Source organism: Homo sapiens, chromosome 19 (genome assembly GCF_000001405.40).
Source record: "Homo sapiens chromosome 19, GRCh38.p14 Primary Assembly".
NCBI classification, from domain to species: Eukaryota; Metazoa; Chordata; class Mammalia; order Primates; family Hominidae; genus Homo; species Homo sapiens.
Window position 1 is genome coordinate 22,748,189 of NC_000019.10, and position 20,823 is coordinate 22,769,011.

General features: G+C 37.3%; 1 protein-coding gene across 1 annotated transcript in view; it reads right to left on the bottom strand.

Annotated features, from left to right (window-relative positions):
• Window positions 1-3,994: 3,994 nt before the first annotated feature.
• The window catches only part of ZNF99 (zinc finger protein 99), a 31,969-nt gene continuing 15,140 nt past the window's right edge, over window positions 3,995-20,823 (bottom strand). The window contains exons 3-4 of the mRNA NM_001080409.3: window positions 20,117-20,212; window positions 3,995-11,494 (exon numbers count right to left, since the gene is read on the bottom strand). Of these exons, the coding sequence (NP_001073878.2) occupies window positions 9,126-11,494; window positions 20,117-20,212 (2,465 nt within the window). The 3' untranslated portion in view covers window positions 3,995-9,125. The remainder of the gene's footprint in view (window positions 11,495-20,116; window positions 20,213-20,823) is intronic.

Genomic DNA, 20,823 nt, shown 5'->3' on the forward strand with positions numbered 1-20,823 from the left:
TCATTGAGACGCAGAACCAGAACATGTAGATTGATGCTGCAGACATTTGCTAACTTGCATGCTAGAAAGACTAAGGAAAACTAGGAAGAAGCCTATTAATTATTCAATGATGTCCACTATAACACAGGGAAAGGAAGAAAATCCTACTGCCTTTCTGGAGAGACTAAGGGAGGCATTAAGGAAGCATATCTCTCTGTCACCTGACTCTATTAAAGGCCAACTAATCTTAAAGGATAAGTTTATCACTCAGTCAGTTGCAGACATTAGAAAAAAACTTCAAAAGTCTGCCTTAGGCCTGGAGCAAAACTTAGAAACCCTGTTGAACTTGGCAACCTCGGTTTTTTATAATAGAGATCAGGAGGAACAGGCAGAATGAGACAAATGAGATTAAAAAAAAAAAAGGCTTTAGTCATGGCCCTCAGGCAAACAGACTTTGGAGGCTCTGGAACACGGAAAGCCTGGGCAAATCAAATGCCTAATAGGGCTTCCTTCCAGTGTGGTCTACAAAGACACTTTAAAAAAGATTGTCCAAATAGAAATAAGCCACCCCCTCATCCATGCCCCTTATGTCAAGGGAATCACTGGAAGGCCCACTGCCCCAGGGGATGAAGGTCCTCTGAGTCAGAAGCCACTAACCAGATGATCCAGCAGCAGGACTGAGGGTGCCCGGGGCAAGCGCCAGCCCATGCCACCACCCTCACAGAGCCCCGGGTATTCTTAACCATTGAAGGCCAGGTGGTTAACCACCTCCTGGACACTGGCGTGTCAGTCTTACTCTCCTGTCCCAGACAACTGTCCTCCAGATCTGTCACTATCTGAGGGTTCCTAGGACAGCCAGTCACTAGATACTTCTTCCAGCCACTAAGTTGTGACTGGGGAACTTTACTCTTTTCACATGCTTTTCTAATTATGCCTGAAAGCCCCACTCGCTTTTTAGGGAGAGACATTCTAGCAAAAGCAGGGGCCATTATACACCTGAACATAGGAGAAGGAACACCTGTTTGTTGTCCCCTGCTTGAGGAATTAATCCTGAAGTCTGGAAAACAGAAGGACAATATAGGCAAGCAAAGAATGCCCGTCCTGTTCAAGTTAAACTAAAGGAGTCCACCTCCTTTCCCTACCAAAGGCAGTACCCCTTTAGACCCGAGGCCCAACAAGGACTCCAAAAGATTAAGGACCTAAAAGCCCAAGGCCTAGTAAAACCCTGCAATAGCCCCTGCAATCCTCCAATTTTAGGAGTACAGGAACCTAACGGACAGTGCATGTTAGTGCAAGATCTCAGGATTATCAGTGAGGCCGTTGTCCCTCTATACCCAGCTGTATCTAACCCTTATACTCTACTCTGCTTTCCCAAATACCAGAGGAAGCAGAGTGTTTTACAGTCCTGGACCTTAAGGATGCCTATTTCTGCATCCCTGTACATCCTGACTCTCAATTCTTGTTTTTCTTTGAAGATCCTTCGAACCCAACATCTCAATTCACCTGGATTGTTATACCCCAAGGGTTCAGGGATAACCCCCATCTATTTGGCCAGGCATTAGCCCAAGACTTGAGCCAGTTCTCATACCCGGACACTCCTGCCCTTCGGTATGTGAATAATTTACTTCTAGACGCCCATTCAGAAACCTTGTGCCATCAAGCCACCAAAGCGCTTTTAAACTTCCTCACCACTTGTGGCTACAAGGATTCCAAACCAAAGGCTCAGCTCTGCTTACAGCAGGTTAAATACTTAGGGCTAAAATTATTTAAAGGCACTAGGGCCCTCGGTGAGGAAAGTATCCAGCCTATACTGGCTTATCCTCATCCCAAAACCCTAAAAGCAACTAAGAGGGTTCTTTGGCATAACAGGCTTCTGCCAAATATGGTTTCCCAGGTACGGTGAAACAGTCAGGCCAGTATATACACTAAGTAAACTCAGAAAGCCAATACCCATTTAGTAAGATGGACACCTGAAGCAAAAGAGGCTTTCCAGGCCCTAAAGAAGGCCCTAACCCAAGCCCCAATGTTAAGTTTGCCAACAGGGCAAGGCTTCTCTTTATATGTCACAGAAAAAACAGGAATAGCTCTAGGAATCCTTACACAGGTTCAAGGGACCAGCTTGCAACCTGTGGCATACTTGAGTAAGAAAATTGATGTAGTGGCAAAGGGTTGGCCTCATTGTTTACAGGTAGTGACGGCAGTAGCAGTCTTAGTATCTGAAGCAGTTAAAATAATACAGGGAAGAGATCTTACTGTGTGGACATCTCATGATGTAAATGGTATACTCACTGCTAAAGGAAACTTGTGGCTGTCAGACAACCATTTGCTTAAAAATCAGGCTCTATTAATTGAAGGACTAGTGCTGAGACTGCGCACTTGTGCAACTCTTAACCCAGCCACATTTCTTCCAGACAATGAAGAAAAGAGAGAACGTAACTGTCAACGGTGATTGCTCAAACCTATGTCACTCAAAGGGACCTTCTAGAGATTCCCTTGACTGATCCCTACCTCAACTTGTATACTGATGAAAGTTCCTTTGTAGCAAAAGGGCTTTGAAAAGCAGGGTATGCAGTGGTCAGTGATAATGGAATACTTGAAAGTAATCCCCTCACTGCAGGAACTAGCGCTCAGTTGGCAGAACTAATAGCCCTCATTCGGGCACTAGAATTAAGAAAAGGAAAAAGGGTAAATATATATACAGAATCTAAGTATGCTTACCTAGCCCTCCAAGCCCACACAGCAATATGGAGAGAAATGGAATTCCTAACTTCTGAGGGAACACCTATCAAACATCAGGAAGCTATTAGATTATTATTGGCTATACAGAAACCTAAAGAGGTGGCAGTCTTACACTGCTGGGGTCATCAAAAAGGAAAGGAAAGGGAAATAGAAGGGAACCGCCAAGCGGACATTGAAGCCAAAAGAGATGCAAGGCAGGACCCTCCATTAGAAATGCTTATAGAAGGACCCCTAGTATGGGGTAACCCCCTCCAGGAAACCAAGCCCCAGTACTCAGCAGAAGAAACAATGGGGAACCTCACGACGACAGTTTCCTCCCCTCAGGATGGCTAGCCACTGAAGAAGGAAAAATACTTTTGCCTGCAGCTAACCAATGGAAATTACTTAAAACCCTTCACCAAACCTTTCCCTTAGGCATTAATAGCACCTATCAGATGGCCAAATTATTATTTACTGGACAAGGCCTTTTTAAAACCATCAAGCAGATAGTCAGGGCCTGTGAAGTGTGCCAAAGAAATAATCTCCTGCACTGCAGGCCATACATTTCAATTCCTGTATCTTTAACCTCCTTGTTAAGTTTGTCTCTTCCAGAATCCAAGCTGTAAAGCTACAAATCGTTCTTCAAATGGAGCCCCAGATGCAGTCCATGACTAAGATCTACCGTGGACCCCTGGACCGGCCTGCAAGCCCATGCTCTGATGTTGATGACATCAAAGCCACCCCTCCTGAGGAAATCTCAACTGCACAACCCCTACTATGCCCCAATTCAGCAGAAAGCAGTTAGAGCGGTCATCAGCCAACCTCCCCAACAGGACTTGGGTTTTCCTGTTGAGAAGGGGGACTGAGAGACAGGACTAGCTGGATTTCCTAGGCCGACTAAGAATCCCTAAGCCTAGCTGGGAAGGTGACCGCATCCACCTTTAAACACGGGGCTTGCAACTTGGCTCACACCCAACCAATCAGGTAGTAAAGAGAGCTCACTAAAATGCTAATTAGGCAAAAATGGGAGGTAAAGAAATAGCCAATCATCTATCCCCTGAGAGCACAGGGGGAGGGACAATGATCAGGATATAAACCCAGGCATTTGAGCTGGCACCAGCTACCCTCTTTGGGTCCCCTCCTTTTGTATGAGAGCTCTGTTTTCACTCTATTAAATCTTGCAACTGCAAAAAAAAAAAAAAAAAAAAAAAAGTCTGTAGGTATGTGTTTGCAGGCACAGTGGCCACATGTTCAAAGAAAAATAGATGACAAATTAAAAAAAATATTTACTCAGGACCCAGATATGTATAGATTTTATTTACATTCCTATATGATTTTTATTATGACCACAAAAATGACGCTATAATAAAGATAACAATTTAGTTTTATATTTCAAAGTGACTAAAAGTGTAGATTTGGATTGCTTGTAATTCAAGGAATAAATGTTGAAGGTGAAGAATCCCTCATTTACCCTGACGTGATTATTACATATTTTATGCTGGTATCAAAATATGCTATATATGGCAGAAATATATCTACACACTATGTACCCATAAAAGTTAAGAAAAATAAGTTTAAATTTGTCAAGGCAAAAAAAAAAAGAAGTTTAAATAAGATTAAAAGTATAAAAATGTAACCTACGAGAACAATATTCTTTAATTTATTTGCAGGTTAAAGCCACTGAAAAAAAGAGATTACTAGAGATGTTATTCCACTCTTACCAAATAGTAAACTGTTGCCATCTCTTACCTACACCCTTGAGTAAGGTGGGATAGGTTAAAGCGAGTGGCATAATAACACTTCATTGAATGTACAACAGACTTAACATGTCAAAAAATGTTTAAAAAATTAAGTTTACATATAATCTAAAAATTTATGAATGTACTACATTACATAAAAGCACAACTAATATAATACATCACTAATTTAATTTTAATTTTAACTAAAATTTTAAAATGTTTTTCTCACTATAATGCACAAAAATATATTCCTCAGAACACCTACCTCATACATCACTCAATATTTTAAGTTAACCACAAAAAGCCTCTCCATTTAGATTTTTATCATGCATTTTATATTTTAATATCCTTTCTCTTTTATGAAAAAGGTCATAAATAATGCCCATCTAATAAAAAAGAATCTTTCATATCTCTGATGCAGCAACAATTGATCGCATGCTTTCACATGTAAATAAAGTAGGAATGAAGAGCATGAAGTAACTTGAGAGTTGAATTACATCCTTATTTGCTTTTCAGAGTCTGTAATTTTTTTCAATATTGTGATGTTAATTTTTTTGATATTTGAAGTATACAAAAAGTATACTTCAAATGTAATTATAATTCTCCAAAAAATCACCTCCTCTTTTTTAAGTTATATGCAAATAACTTATCTAAATTTTAGATTGAAATTATTTTTTTTACTCAACACTCTGATTTAGTGTAGTCTGAAGTGCCAGTGCCTTATCATTTCTACTGTGAATTCTCTGACATTTACAGAGTTAATTTTGGATTGAATATTTTTCATATTTACTGCATCTACAAAAAAAACTTACTCTGTTTTCTAAGCTGTAGTTTATAAACTTTTTTCCAAATTTATTACATTTGCAGGTTTTTTTCTCTATTATACATTCCCTGATATTGAACAAAGTTTGAGCAACTTTAGGGTTTTTCTCTAGCACAAAATATGCACAATAAGATCTGTGATACAAATATAGTACTACAACCGTCTTTATATTTGTAATGTTTGTCATCAAAAGAAATACTCTTCACCATTCTAAGGTTTATATTTTCTAAAAGATATTCTCACAGTAATTGCATTTTTAATATTTGTTTTAAGTATAAACTCTGTGATGTTAAGATGTGAGCAGATATTAATGGCTTTTCCACATTCTTCATAGGTGTACATTTTTTTTCAAGTATAAATGCTTTCCTATGCGATAAGGTGTGAGTATTGGTTAAATATTTTGCCACATTCTTCATAGTTTTCTCTAGGATAAATTAGCTTATACTCAAGTGTGACAACCATTTAAAGGCTTTGTGACATGACTCACATCTAGGGCTTCTTGACACTATGATTTCTTTTATGTTTAGAAAAGTTTAAGGTGTTCTCAAGAGCACTGTCATGTCTTTTAGGTTTGTAGAGCTTCTCTCCAGTATGATTTGATAACTTATTAAAAACTTTGCCACATTCGACCGGGCTCAATGGCTCATGCTTGTAATCCCAGCACTTTGGGGCACTTTGGGAGGCCAAGGCGGGTGGATCACTTGAGGTCAGGAGTTCAAAACCAGCCTGGTCAAAATGGTGAAACCCCGTCTCTACTAAAAATACAAAAATTAGCTGGGCGTGGTGGCAGGCGCCTGCAATCCCAGCTGCTTGGGAGGTTGAGGCCAGAGAATCGCTTGAACCCAGGAGGCGGAGGTTGCAATGAACTGAGATTGCACCATTGCACTCCAATTTGGGCGACAGAGTGAGACTCCATTTCAAAAAAAAAAAAAAAACTTTGCCACATTCTTCACATTTGTAGAATTTCTCTACAACATAAATTATCTTATGTGTAATAAGGGTTGAAATGTTTTTAAAGCTTTTGTCACATTCTTCATATTTATAAAATTTATCTTCTGTATGAATTCTCTTATATTTAGTATGAGTTGAAGACCAGTTAAAGACTTTGTTACATTCTTCACATTTGTCGGGTTTCTCTTCAGTATGAATTATCTTAATGTGTGGTAAGATGTGAGAAATGGTTACAGTGTTTGCCACATTCTTCATATTTGTAGGGCTAGTTTCCATTATGAATTATCTTATGTTCAGTAAGGTTTGAGGACGTTAAAAGCTTTGCAACATTCTTCACGTTTGTAGGGTTTCTCTTCAGTATAAATTGTTTATTAAGAATTGAAGAATTAGGCTGGGCACGGTGGCTCACGCCTTTAATCCCAGCACTTTGGGAGGCCGAGGCGGGCAGATCACCAGAGGTCGGGAGTTCGAGACCAGCTTGACCAACATGGAGAAACCCCGTCTCTACTAAAAATACAAAATTAGGTGGGCGTGGTGGCACATGCCTATAGTCCCTGCTACTCGGGAGGCTGAGGCAGGAGAATCGCTTGAAAACCCAGGAGGCGGAGGTTGCAGTGAGCCGAGATTGTGCCACTGCACTCCAGAGCCTGGGCAACTAGGGCGAAACTCTGTTTCAAAAAAAAAAAAAAAAAAATTGAAGAATGCTTATGGCATTATTCACATTTGTAGGGTTTCTCTCCCATTGAATTATGTTGTTTAGCAAGAGTTGAGGACTGGCTAAAAGCATTGCCACTTTCTTCACATTTGTAGGGTTTTTCTCCAGTACGAATTTTCTTATGTCTAATAAAGTTTAACTGATTAAAAGCATTGCCACATTCTTCACATTTCTAGAGTTTGTCTTCAGTATCAACTATTTTCTGTTGAGTAAGGTCTGAAAACCAGTTAAAAGCTTTGCCACAGTTTTCATATTTGTAGGGTTTCTCTTCAGTATGAATTATCTTATGTTCAGTAAGGTTTGAGGACCAGTTAAAAGTTTTGCCACACTCTTCACATGAGGCGGGTTTCTCTCTAATTTATCTTATATTCAGTAAGATCTGAGAACCCGTTAGAAGCTTTGCCACATTCTTCACATTTGTAAAGTATCTCTCCAGTATGAATTATCTTATGTTCAGTAAGTTTTGAGAAGCAGTTAAAAGTTTTGCCAAATTCTTTAAATTTGTAGTGTTCCTCTCCAAGATAAATTATTTTATGTTGAGTAAAGTTTGAGGACTGGTTAAAAGCTTTGCCCATTCTTCATATTTGCAGTGTTTGTCTCTACTATGAATTATCTTATGTTCAGTAAGATTTGAGGACTGATTAAAAGCTTTGCCACATTCCTCACATTTGAAGGGTTTATCTTCAGTATGAATTATCTTACATTCAGTAAGATTTGAGGACCAGTTAAAAGCTTTGCCATATTATTCACATTTGTGGAGTTTATCTTCTTTAGGAATTCTCTCATTTTGAGTAACAGCTGAGCAATGGTTAAAAGCTTTGTCACCTTTATTATATTTGTAGGGTTTTCCTCCAGTATCAATTATTTTATGTGTATTTAAGGTGTGAGGACTGGTTAAAGGCTTTGCCACATTCTTTACATTTGTGGGGTTTCTCTCCAGCATGAATTGTTTTCTGCCTATTAAGGCTTGAGGACTGGTTAAAAGCTTTGCCACATTCTTCACATATGGAGGGTCTGTCTCTAGTATAAATTATCTTATGTGTATTAAGGTTTGTAAAATGGTTGAAAGCTTTGACACATTCTTCACATTTTTAGGGCTTCTCCCCAGTATGAATTATCTTATGTTTAGTAAGGGCTGAAAGATGGTTAAAAGCTTTGCCACATTCTTCACATTTGTAGGTTTTCCCTCCAGTATGAATTGTTTTATGTTGAGTAAGGTGTGAGGACTGGTTAAAGGCTTTGCCACATTCTTCACATTTGTAGGGTTTCTCTCCAGAATGAATTATCTTATGTTTAGTAAGGTTTGAGGACTAAATGCTTTACCACACTCTTCACATTTGTAGGGTTTCTTTCCAGTATGAATTATCCTATGTTTAGTAAGGCGTGAGAAATGGCTAAAAGCTTTGCCACGTTCTTCACATTTGTAGGGTTTCTCTCCAGTATGAATTGATTTATGTTTAGTAAGGTGTGAGGATTGCTTAAAAGCTTTGCCACATTCTTCACATTTGTACGGTTTCTCCCCAGTATGAATTATCTTATGTTTCATAAGGGTCGAGAAATTGTTAAAACCTTTGCCACATTCTTCACATTTGTACGGTTTCTCCCCAGTATGAATTATCTTATGTTTCATAAGGGTTGAGGAATTGTTAAAAGCTTTGCCACATTCTTCACATTTGTAGGGTTTCTTTCCAGTATAATTATCTCATGTTTTCTAAGGGCTGAGAAATGCTTAAAAGCTTTGCCACATTCTTCACATTTGTAGGGTTTCTCTACAGTATGAATTACCTTATGTTCCATAAGTTTTGAGACCACTTAAAAGCTTTACCACATTCTTCACATTTGTATGGTTTCTCCCCAGTATGAATTATCTTATGTTTCCTAAGGGCTGAGAAATTGCTAAAAGCTTTGCCACATTCTTCACATTTGTACGATTTCTCCCTAGTATGAATTAGCTTATGTTTCTTAAGGGTTGAGGAATTGTTAAAAGCTTTTCCACATTCTCCACATTTGTAGGGCTTCTCCCCAGTATGAACTGCTTTATGTCTAGTAAGGTGTGAGGACTGCTTAAAAGCTTTGCCACATTCTTCACATTTGTATGGTTTCTTCCCAGTATAAATTATCTTATGTTTCCTAAGGGTTGAGGAATTGTTAAAAGCTTTGCCACATTCTTCACATTTGTAGGGTTTCTTTCCAGTATGAATTATCTCATGTTTTCTAAGGGCTGAGAAATGTTTAAAAGCTTTGCCACATTCTTCACATTTGCAGGGTTTCTCTCCATATGAATTACCTTATGTAAAGTAAGTTTTGAGGACCACTGAAAAGCTTTACCACATTCTTCACATTTGTAGGATTTCTCTCCAGTATGAATTATCTCATGTTTTCTAAGGGTTGAGGAATTGTTAAAAGCTTTGCCACATTCTTCACATTTATAGGGTTTCTTTCCAGTATGAATTATCTTATGTTTTCTAAGGGCTGAGAAATGCTTAAAAGCTTTGCCACATTCTTCACATTTGCAGGGTTTCTCTGCAGTATGAATTACCTTATGTACAGTAAGTTTTGAGGACCACTTAAAAGCTTTACCACATTCTTCACATTTGTAGGGTTTCTCTCCAGTATGAATTATCTCATGTTTTCTAAGAGTTGAGGACTGGCTAAAAGCTTTGCCACATTCTTCACATTTGTAGGGTTTCTTTCCAGTATGAATTATCTTATGTTTCCTAAGGGCTGAGAAATGGTTAAAAGCCTTGCCACATTCTTCACATTTGTAGGGTTTCTCTTCAGTATGAATTACTTTATGTCTAGTAAGGTGTGAGGACCACTTAAAAGCTTTACCACATTCTTCACATTTGTAGGGTTTCTCTCCAGTATGAATTATCTCATGTTTTCTAAGGGTTGAGGACTGGCTAAAAGCTTTGCCACATTCTTCACATTTGTAGGGTTTCTTTCCAGTATGAATTATCTGATGTTTTCTAAGGGCTGAGAAGTGGTTAAAAGCTTTGCCACATTCTTCACATTTGTAGGGTTTCTCCCCAGTATGAATTGCTTTATGTCTAGTAAGATGTGAAGATTGCTTAAAAGCTTTGCCACATTCTTCACATTTGTATGGTTTCTTCCCAGTATGAATTATCTTATGTTTCATAAGGGTTGAGGAATTGTTAAAAGCTTTGCCACATTCTTCACATTTGTAGGGTTTCTTTCCAGTATGAATTATCTTATGTTTTCTAAGGGCTGAGAAATGCTTAAAAGCTTTGCCACATTCTTCACATTTGCAAGGTTTCTCTTCCATATGAATTACCTTATGTACAGTAAGTTTTGAGGACCACTTAAAAGCTTTACCACATTCTTCACATTTGTAGGGTTTCTCTCCAGTATGAATTATCTCATGTTTTCTAAGGGCTGAAAAATTGCTAAAAGCTTTGCTGCATTCTTCACATTTGTAGGGTTGCTTTCCAGTATGAATTATCTTATGTTTTCTAAGGGCTGAGAAACGCTTAAAAGCTTTGCCACATTCTTCACATTTGCAGGGTTTCTCTGCAGTATGAATTACCTTATGTACAGTAAGTTTTGAGGACCACTTAAAAGCTTTACCACATTCTTCACATTTGTAGGGTTTCTGTCCAGTATGAATTATCTCATGTTTTCTAAGGGCTGACAAATTGCTAAAAGCTTTGCCGCATTCTTCATATTTGTAGGGTTTCTCTTCAGTATGAATTATCTCATGTTTTCTAAGGGTTGAGGACTGGCTAAAAGCTTTGCCACATTCTTCACATTTGTAGGGTTTCTTTCCAGTATGAATTATCTGATGTTTTCTAAGGGCTGAGAAATGGTTAAAAGCTTTGCCACATTCTTCGCATTTGTAGGGTTTCTCTCCAGTATGAATTGCTTTATGTCTAGTAAGGTGTGAGGATTGCTTAAAAGCTTTGCCACATTCTTCACATTTATATGGTTTCTTCCCAGTATGAATTATCTTATGTTTCATAAGGGTTGAGGAATTGTTAAAAACTTTGCCACATTCTTCACATTTGCAGGGTTTCTTTCCAGTATGAATTATCTTACATTTAGTGAACATTGAAGAGATGTTAAAAGCTTTGCCACATTTCTTATATTTGTAGGGTTTGTCTTCAGTATGAATTATCTTATGTTTAATAAGGGTTGAGAACCATTTAAAGGCTTTGCCACGTTCTTCACATTTGTAGATATTCTCTCTAGTATGAATTCTCTTATGTTGAATTAAGTGTGAAAGCATGAAAAATGATTTGCTACATTTCATACATTTGAAAGTTTTCTTTTTAGTGTGTCTAATCTTATATCTATTTGAATTTGAATATTTATGAAAGACTTTCACATATTTGTTACACTGAAATATTTTTCCCTGGGTAGTTGTCCAACATTGGTTAAGTTTATTATAAGCTTCTTCGTGCATCTTACCCTCATTGACACTTTCACAATCTTTTCTTAATCGTAAATTCTTATGTCCACATCTTGCATATGTTCTCAATATTATTTCTTGGAAAGAATCTTTTATGCTCTGATCTGGCCAAAAGTCTTGTGTAAAATGAGAACTAATAACTGGAAGAAATGAAAATAATAAATTATGTCACTTGCTAGACTCAGATGAATATACTTTACAAATCTAACCTATAAAATTATACAAACCGCTTAAGCAAGATGGCACAGCAAAATAAGACAGGCCCTAATTTCTTCATAGACATATAAATGTAATAAAAACATACTGACCAAAATATATTTGTTGAAAATTTATAAATAAGTTAAGTGTGTAGAGTGCCCCAAGTAAGTACAATGCAAACAGCCACATAAAAGGAAAGAGAAGTCTGTTACAGTTTCCCAACTCAGCTCTTCCTGCTCCCCAAAATGACATGGTGTCGTTAGAAGTAAATTGCTGGCTGGGAATGGCAGCTCACACCTGCAATCCCAGCACTTTTGGAGGCTGAGGCAAGTGGATTACCTGAGATCAAGGGTTCAAGACCAGCCTGGCCAAAATGGAAAAACTCCATCTCTACTAAAAATTCAAAAATTAGCCAGGCATGGTGGCACACGTCTGTAGTCTCAGCTACTTGGGAAGCTGAGGCAATCACTTGAACTTGGGATGTAGAAATTACAGTGAGATGAGATTATGCTATTGTACTCCAGCCAGCGTGACACAGTGAGACTCTGTCTCAAAACAAAAAAAGTAAATTGCCATCTCCTGATTTCATTTCTAAAGACATATAAAACAGTGGCACATACATATTTATTTCTGGCTTCTAGGGGCCTTTCCAGACTGGTTTATGTTTCTCATGACACAAAGTACTGAAAGAAATGGTGGCATACTTTAAAATGACAGCTTGAGGCCGGGCACGGTGGCTCAGGCCTGTAATCCCAGCACCTTGAGAGGCCTAGGTGGGCAGATCACGAGGTCAGGAGATCGAGACCATTCTGGCTAACACGGTGAAACCGCGTCTCCACTAAAAATACAAAAAATTCGCCAGGTGTGGTGGCGGGCATCTGTAGTCCCAGCTACTCAGGAGGCTGAAGCAGGAAAATGGCATGAACCCGGGAGGCAGAGCTTGCAGTGAGCCGAGATCATGCCACTGCACTCCAGCCTGGGCGACAGAGAGAGACTCTGTCTCAAAAAAAAATAAATGAATAAAATAAAATGGCAGCTTGAATCTGCTGAAACCAAAGTTAAATATTACAGCAGCAGAGAATGTAGTACCACACACAAAAAATAGATTACTATTGAGAAGAAACATGAGTAACATTCTTTATCTAAAAAAAAAAAAAAAAAAAAAATTTCAAACAAGATGCATTCTAAGAACATGTTTGACATACTCCCAGAATCTCTAGCCAAGACAATTGGTTTCAGATTTCCAGGACAAGGCTACATTATGAAGACTGTAACAGGTAGCTTTTTTGATGTACAAATTTTAATTAATTATTATAATGTATATGGAATACTAGGGCAACATGGCCCAATCAAAAAAAGTATAAAATTTTTGGAAAACAACCATAAAACAATGAAGATTAATAAATTAATTTTTAAAATTTCAAATAAATTAAATAATACTGAATAAGAGACATAGGAACACAGACCACTATAAAAAATTTTAAAAATGAGGATACCTCTTCCCCTAATGGCGTGAGGTAATTCATGAAAATGGCTTGCTATTCACCTAAGCCAGAGAATCCCGCAATATCATGCTAAACAAGAGGTTCATAAGAGCTATTCTTATATAAGACAAAATAAACTTTAAAGCAACAGCAGTTTAAAAAAACAAAGAGGGACATTATACAATGGTAAAAGGTCTTGTACAACAGGAACATATCACAATCCTCAACATATATGCACCTAACACTGAAGCTCCCAAATTTATAAGACAATTACTAGTAGACCTAATAAATGAGATAGACACCAACACAATAATAATGAGGACTTCAATACTCCACTGACAGCACTAGACAGGTCATCAAGACAGAAAGTCAACAAATAAAAAATGGATTTAAACTATACCTTGGAGCAAATGCACTTAACAGATATATACAGAACATTCCATCCAATAACTGCAGAATATACATTCTACTCAACAGTGCACGAAACCTTCTCCAAATAGACCGTATGATAAGCCACAAAATGAGCCTCAATAAATTTAAGAAAATGAAATTATATCAAACACTCTCTCAGACCACAGTGGAATAAAAGTGGAATTCAACTACAAAAGGAAACTTCAAAACCATGCAAATACATGTAAATTAAAAAACCTGCTCCTGAATAATCATTGGGTCAAACATGAAATCAAAATGGAAATTTAAAAATTCTTCAAACTCAACAACAAAAGTGATACAACCTATCAAAACCTCTAGGATACAGCAAAGGAGATGCTAAAAGGAAAGTTCATAGTCCTAAACACCTACATCAAAAAGTCTGAAAGAACACAAAATGACACTCTTGTTCACACCTCAAGAAACTAGAGAAACAAGGACAAACCAAACCCAAACCCAGAAGAAGAAAAAAAAATAGTCACAGTCAGAGCAGAATGAAATGAAATTGAAACAAACAAACAAAAACCAAAAGATAAATAAAACAAAAACCTGGCTCTTTAAAACGCATAAATACAATTGATAGACCATTAGCAAGATTAACCAAGAAAAAAAGAAAATCCAAATAACCTCAATAAGAAATGAAATGGGAGATATTACAACTGACAACACAGAAATACAAAAGATCATTCAAGGCTACTATGAACACCTTTAAGTGCACTAACTAGAAAACCTAAAAGAAATGAATAAATTTCTGCAAAAATGCAACCCACCCAGCTTAAATCAGGAAGAATTAGATACCCTGAACAGACCAATAATGAGCAGCGAGATTGAAATGGTAATTTAAAAATTACCAAGAAAAAAATGTCTAGGACCAGACAGTATGCAGCAGAATTCTACCAGACATTCAAAGAAGAATTGATACCAATTCTATTGACACTATTCCATAAGATAGAGAAAGAGGGAGCCCTTCCTAATTCATTCTATGAAGCCAGCATCACCCTAATACCAAAACCAGAAAAGGCATTAATCAAAAAAGAAAACCACAGACTGACGTCCCTGATGAAAATAGATGCTAAAATCCTTAACAAAATACTAGCTAACTGAATCCAACAACATATCAAAAACAGAATCCATGATCAAGTGGGTTTCATACCAGTGATGCAGGGATGGTTTAACAAATGCAAGTCAATAAATGTGATACACCACATAAAAAGAAATAAAAACAAAAGTCACAGGATCATCTCAATAGATGCAGAAAAAGCATTCAACAAAATCCAGCAACGCTTTATGATTAAAACTCTTAGCAACACTGGCATACAAGGGACATACATCAAGATAATAAAAGCCATCTATGACAAACCCAGAGCCAACATAATACTGAATGAGGAGAAGTTGAAAGCATTCCCTCTGAGGACTGGAACAAGACAAGGATGCCCACTTTCACCCCACTTCTTCAACATAGTACTGGAAGTCTTATCCAGAGCAAGCAGAAAAGAGAAAAAAATAAAGGGCATCAAAATTGGTAAAGAGGAAGTAAAGCTGTCACTGTTTGCGGATGATATGATTGTTTACTTTGAAAACCCTAGACTTTTCAAGAAAGCTCCTAGAAGTGATAAAATAATTCAGCAAAGTTTTCAGATACAAAATTAATGCATACAAATCAGTAGCTCTTCTATACACCAACAGCGACGAAGCAGAGAGTCAAATCAAAACTCAAACTCTTTTACAATAGCTGTGAGAAAAAAAAAAAATTAGGAATATACCTAACCAAGGAGGTAAAAGACCTCTACAAGGAAAACTACAAAACACTGCTGAAAGAAATCACAGATGACACAAACAAATGGAAACAGTCCACGTTCATGGATAGGTAGAATCAATATTGTGAAAATGACCACACTGCCAAAAGCAATCTACAAATTAAATGCAATTTCCATCAAAATACCACCGTCATTCTTCACAGAATTAGAAAAAATTATTCTAAAATCCATATGGAACAAAAAAAGAGCCTGCATAGCCAAAGCAAGACTAAGCAAAAAGAACAAATCTGAAGGCATCACACTACCTGACTTCAAACTATACTATAAAGCCATAGTCACAAAAACAGCATGGTACTGGTATAAAAATAGGCACATAAACCAATGGAACAGAATAGAGAACCCAGAAATAAACCCAAATATTACAGCCAGCTGAACTTCGACAAAGCAAACAAAAACATAAAGTAGGGAAAGGATACTCTTTTTTTTTTCTTTCCTTTTTTTTTTTTTTTTTTTTTTGAGATGGAGTCTTGTTCTGTCACCCAGGCTGGAGTGCAGTGGTGTGATCTTGGCTCACCACAACTTCTGCCTCCCGGGTTCAAGCAATTCTCCTGCCTCAGCCTCCCAAGTAGCTGGGATTACAGGTGCCTGCCACTGCACCTGGCTAATTTTTGTATTTTTAGTAGAGATGGGGTTTCATCACATTGGCCAGGCTGGTCTTGAACTCCTGACCTCATGATCCACCCGTCTCAGCCTCCCAAAGTGCTGGGATTACAGGCATGAGCCACCGCGCCTGGCCAGGGACTCTTTTCAACAAATGATGCTGGGATAATTGGCTAGCCACATGTAGGAGAATAAAACTGGATCCTCATATTTTACTTTATACAAAAATCAACACAAGATGGATTAAGGACTTAAATCTAAGACCTGAAAGTATAAAAATTCTAGAACATTGGAAAAACCCTTTTAGACATTGGCTTAGACAAGGATTTCATAATCAAGAACCCAAAAGCAAATGCAATTAAAACAAACATAAATTAGGGAGGGTTTTCTCTCTATCTTGTGGAATAGTGTCAAAACAGGGACTTAATTAAACTAAAGAGCTTTTGCATGGCAAAAGGAACACCAGAGTGAACAGACAACCCACAGAGTAGGAGAAAATCTTCACAATCTATACACCTGACAAAGAAGTAATATCTTGAATCTACAATGCACTCAAACAAATCAGCAAGAAAAAAAAAAATCCCATCAAAACTGAGCTAAGGACACAAATAGACAATTTTCAACAGAAGATATACAAATGGCCAAGAAACATATGAAAAAATGCTCAATATTGCTAATGGCCAGGGAAATGCAAATCAAAACCACCAAAGGATACCACCTTACTCATGCAAGAATGGCCATAATAAAAAATAAATAAATAAAAAAACAGATGTTGGTGTGGATGTGGTGATCAGGGAACACTTCTACACTGCTGGTGGGAATGTAAACTAGTACAACCACTATGGAAAACAGTGTGGAGATTCCTAAAGAACTAAAAGTTGTACTACCATTTGATCCAGCAATCCCACTACTGGGTATCTACTCAGAGGAAAAGAAGTCATTATATGAAAAAGATACTTACACACACATTTATAGCAGCGTAATTCACAACAGCAAAATCATGGAACCAACCCAAATGCCCATTAACCAATGAGTGGATAAAGAAACTGTGAGATATATATATAATGGAACACTACTCAGCCATAAAATGGAATAAATTAATGGCATTCACAGCAACATGGATAAGATTAGAGGCTATCCTTCTAAGTGAAGTAAATCAGAAATGGAAAACCAAACATCGTATGTTCTCACTGATATGTGGGAGTTAAGCTATGAGGATGCAAAGGCATAAGAATGACACAGTGGACTTTGGGGACTTGGGGGGAAGAGTGGGAGGAAAACGAGGGATAAAAGACCACAAATAGAGTGCAGTGTATACAGCTCGGGTGATGAGTGCACAAAAATCCCACAAATCACCACTAAAGAACTTACTCATGTAACCAAACACCACTTGTACCTCAATAACTTATGAAAAAATAAAATAAATAAAAAAAAATAAAGTAGTACACAGGTTACTTGAAGACGAAAAAAAAGAGCTTTCCAAATTTTGATGTAATAAAAAAAATTCTTAATCCATAATACTTGATCAGAAATTATTTTACTTTAAAAAACAATAAAAAATAAAGACTTTCCAAAATGAAAGGTAAGGGTGTTCATCACCACTAGCACAGTTAAAAAAAAAAGCTACATGGTGGCCAGGCACAGTGGCTCATGCCTGTAATCCTACACCTTTAGGAGGCCAAGGTAGTCAGAAAACTTGAGACCAAGAGTTCAAGATCAGCCCCAAAACAGAGTGAGACTGTGCATATATAACAAGAGAAATGCTAAAATGAGTCTTTTATGTTGAAAAATAAAATGATGCTAGACAGCATCAAAAAACCGTATATGAATATATAGCTTTCTATTAAATGTAAACATACAGACACATATAAAATGTCTTACTATAATAATAGGCATAATACCCTTAAAATTCTTCTATAGAATATAAAAACAAAATATAAATCTGCATAAATCTGAATACACAATATAAAATAATTTGTAATATTAATAACAAACTTGAAAATATAGAAATATAGTTTTTGTATTCAATTAAGTTGTTATGATATTAAAACACATTGATTTAATCTTAAGATGTTTTACATAATGTCCATTTTTCAACATAACTACAAAAATTTTATAGAAACTACGCAAAACAAAATAAAAAAAATAAGCAAAGTGTGCCACTACAAAATTAAACAAAAAATAGTTAAACAAGAAATGAGACAAAATATGTAAAAAAAAAAAAAACATAAAACATAACAATGAAACTGGTATGTAACTTTATTTCTTTTCTTTTCTTTTTTTTTTTGAGATGGAGTCTCGCTCTATTGCCCAGGGTGGAGTGCGGTGGCACGATCTCAGCTCACCACAACCTACGCCTCTGGGTTCAAGTGATTCTCCTGCCTCAGCCTCCCAAGCAGCTAGGACTACAGGCACGTGCCACCATGCCTGGATAATTTTTGTATTTTCAGTAGAGACGGGGTTTCATTGTGTTGGCCAGGCTAGTCTCAAACTCCTGACCTCGTGATCCACCCACTTCGGTCTCCCAAAGTGCTGGGATTACAGGCATGAGCCACCGTGCCCGGCATAACTTTATTTCTTATTTCTTTTTTTTTTTTTGAGTCGGAGTTTCACTGTTGTTGTCCAGGCTGGAGTGCAATGGCGCCATCTCGGCTTACCACAACCTCCGCCTCCCGGGTTCAAGCAATTCTCCTGCATCAGCCTCCCGAATAGCTGGGATTACAGGCATGCGCCACCACGCCCGGCTAATTTTATATTTTTAGCAGACATAGGGTTTCTCCATGTTGGTCAGGCTGGTCTCAAACTCCCAACCTCAGGTGATCCGCCCACCTCGGCCTCCCAAAGTGCTGGAATTACAGGCGTGAGACACCATGCCTGGCGTAACTTTCTTTAAGAAATCATTTTAAATATAAATTTATCAAACTACTTAATAAAAAGAAATGTAATTCCAGGACTTTCGGAGGCCAAGGTGGGCTGATAACTTGATTCCAGGAGTTTGAGAACAGCCTGAGCAACAAAGCAAAACCCTGTCTCTACCAAAAAAAAAAAAAAAAAAAACCAAAAAACTAGCTGGGTTTAATGGCATGGGCCTGTAACCCAGCTACTTAAGAGGTTGAAACTAGAAGATTATCTGAGTTTGAGAGGCTGAGGCTGCAGTTCACTGCCATGATTACACCATTGCAAAACAGCCTGGTTGACGAAGTGAGACCCTATTTCATTAATTAATTAATTAAAAGGAAAAGAAAGAAGATGCCTGAGTGGCTTAAGAAAAGAAGCATACAATATGTTCTCTACAAGAGACCAATTTTAGCACTGAGTCAAATAGTCTGTAAGTAACAGAATTTAAAAAAATCTATATTTCATGCAAATAGTAGCCACAATTGGGTGAGGTAGTCGTAATTATATTGGGCACAATATGCTTTAAGTCAAGTACTAGTACAAGAAAAAGATTGATATTATATAATAGTAAAATGGGTCAATTTACCAGGAATCTATAACTATTATATTTATATGTACAGGTAGGTATAACAACAGGCCTCCAAAATATATAAATATTGACATAGGTGAAGCAAGAAGTACATAGCAACATAACAGTTGCAGACACTGAGACCCCATTTTCAATAATAATAGAAAATTCATATAGAAGATTAAGAAAATAGAAAATGTAGATAACATTATGGACTGTAATATTTTACATACAGAGAAATATCTGAGAGTAAATAATTTATAACAGAAAAGTTTATTTGGCTCACAGTTCAACAGACTGTACAAGAAGTATATGCCGGTATCTGTTTCTGGTGTGTTCTCAGGAAGCTTATGATCATAGTGGAAAGCGAAGAGAAACTGGACATATCACATGGTAAGAGATAGAGCAAGTGTGAGGTAAAAGAGCCAGGTTTTTTAAAAATAGTTTCTCAAAACTATACAGATATTTGTGTGTCCCCAATATGGAAAAGCAGTCAGATTGTGCAGTCCCTTATATGCCATGAACACAACTTTGGCTCTCACTGTAAACTTGAAGGGAAATTACCAAAACGAAAATAGAATCCTTAGAGAATTTTAAAGCATAAGACAGAAGATGCCCTACATGAGAGCAAAATTTTAAAAAATCTCAGTCTTCCCAGAAACTACTTCCTTTGGAGCACAGCTTCTCAGGTCACATTTTGAGAACTGGCTTTCTCCTGGACCTCTGGACCTCTTATTTGTGTTGTTTCTTGTATTCACTCTCACATACCTGGGGGTTTAGTTACCATCTCATGTCTCTTCATATTCCAAGGCTCTTTCCCTTGCTTCAGACAAGTTATCAAGTCTAGCTTAGAGACAGCGATACCTGTTTTATTAAAAATAAATAACATAAATATTGCTCATATTCCCCAAATAATGTGCTCATTAAAGAGAATGTAATAGAATATTCTAGTAAATTGATCCCTCAATACTAATTTATAACATAAATTTCTAAATATTTAGAAAATATTTTCAATTTGTACAGTCCCTTAATTTTACTACCTGGTACTACTGAATCAAATATTGGTGGTGGCAATGAGATTTCAAGGTGTGGCAACTACATTTTATGCCACTAAATTTCTTCAATTTTCACTAATCTAGAGTGAAAAATGCAGATCTGCTTAGAAATGTGGAAAGTTCAGGTAAAAATTAAACATCTTTAAAAAATTCCTTTCTGGCCGGGCATGGTGGCTCACACCTATAATCCCAGCACTTTGAGAGGCCGAGGCAGGTGGATCACCTGAGGTCAGGAGTTCAAGACCAGCCTCAACATGGAGAAACCCCGTCTCTGCTAAAAATACAAAATTAGCCGGGTGTGGTGGTGCATGCCTGTAATCCCAGCTACTCAGGAGGCTGAGGCAGAAGAATTGCTTGAACCTGGGAGGCGGAGGTTGTGGTAAGCCGAGATCGCACCATTGCACTCCAGCCTGGGCAACA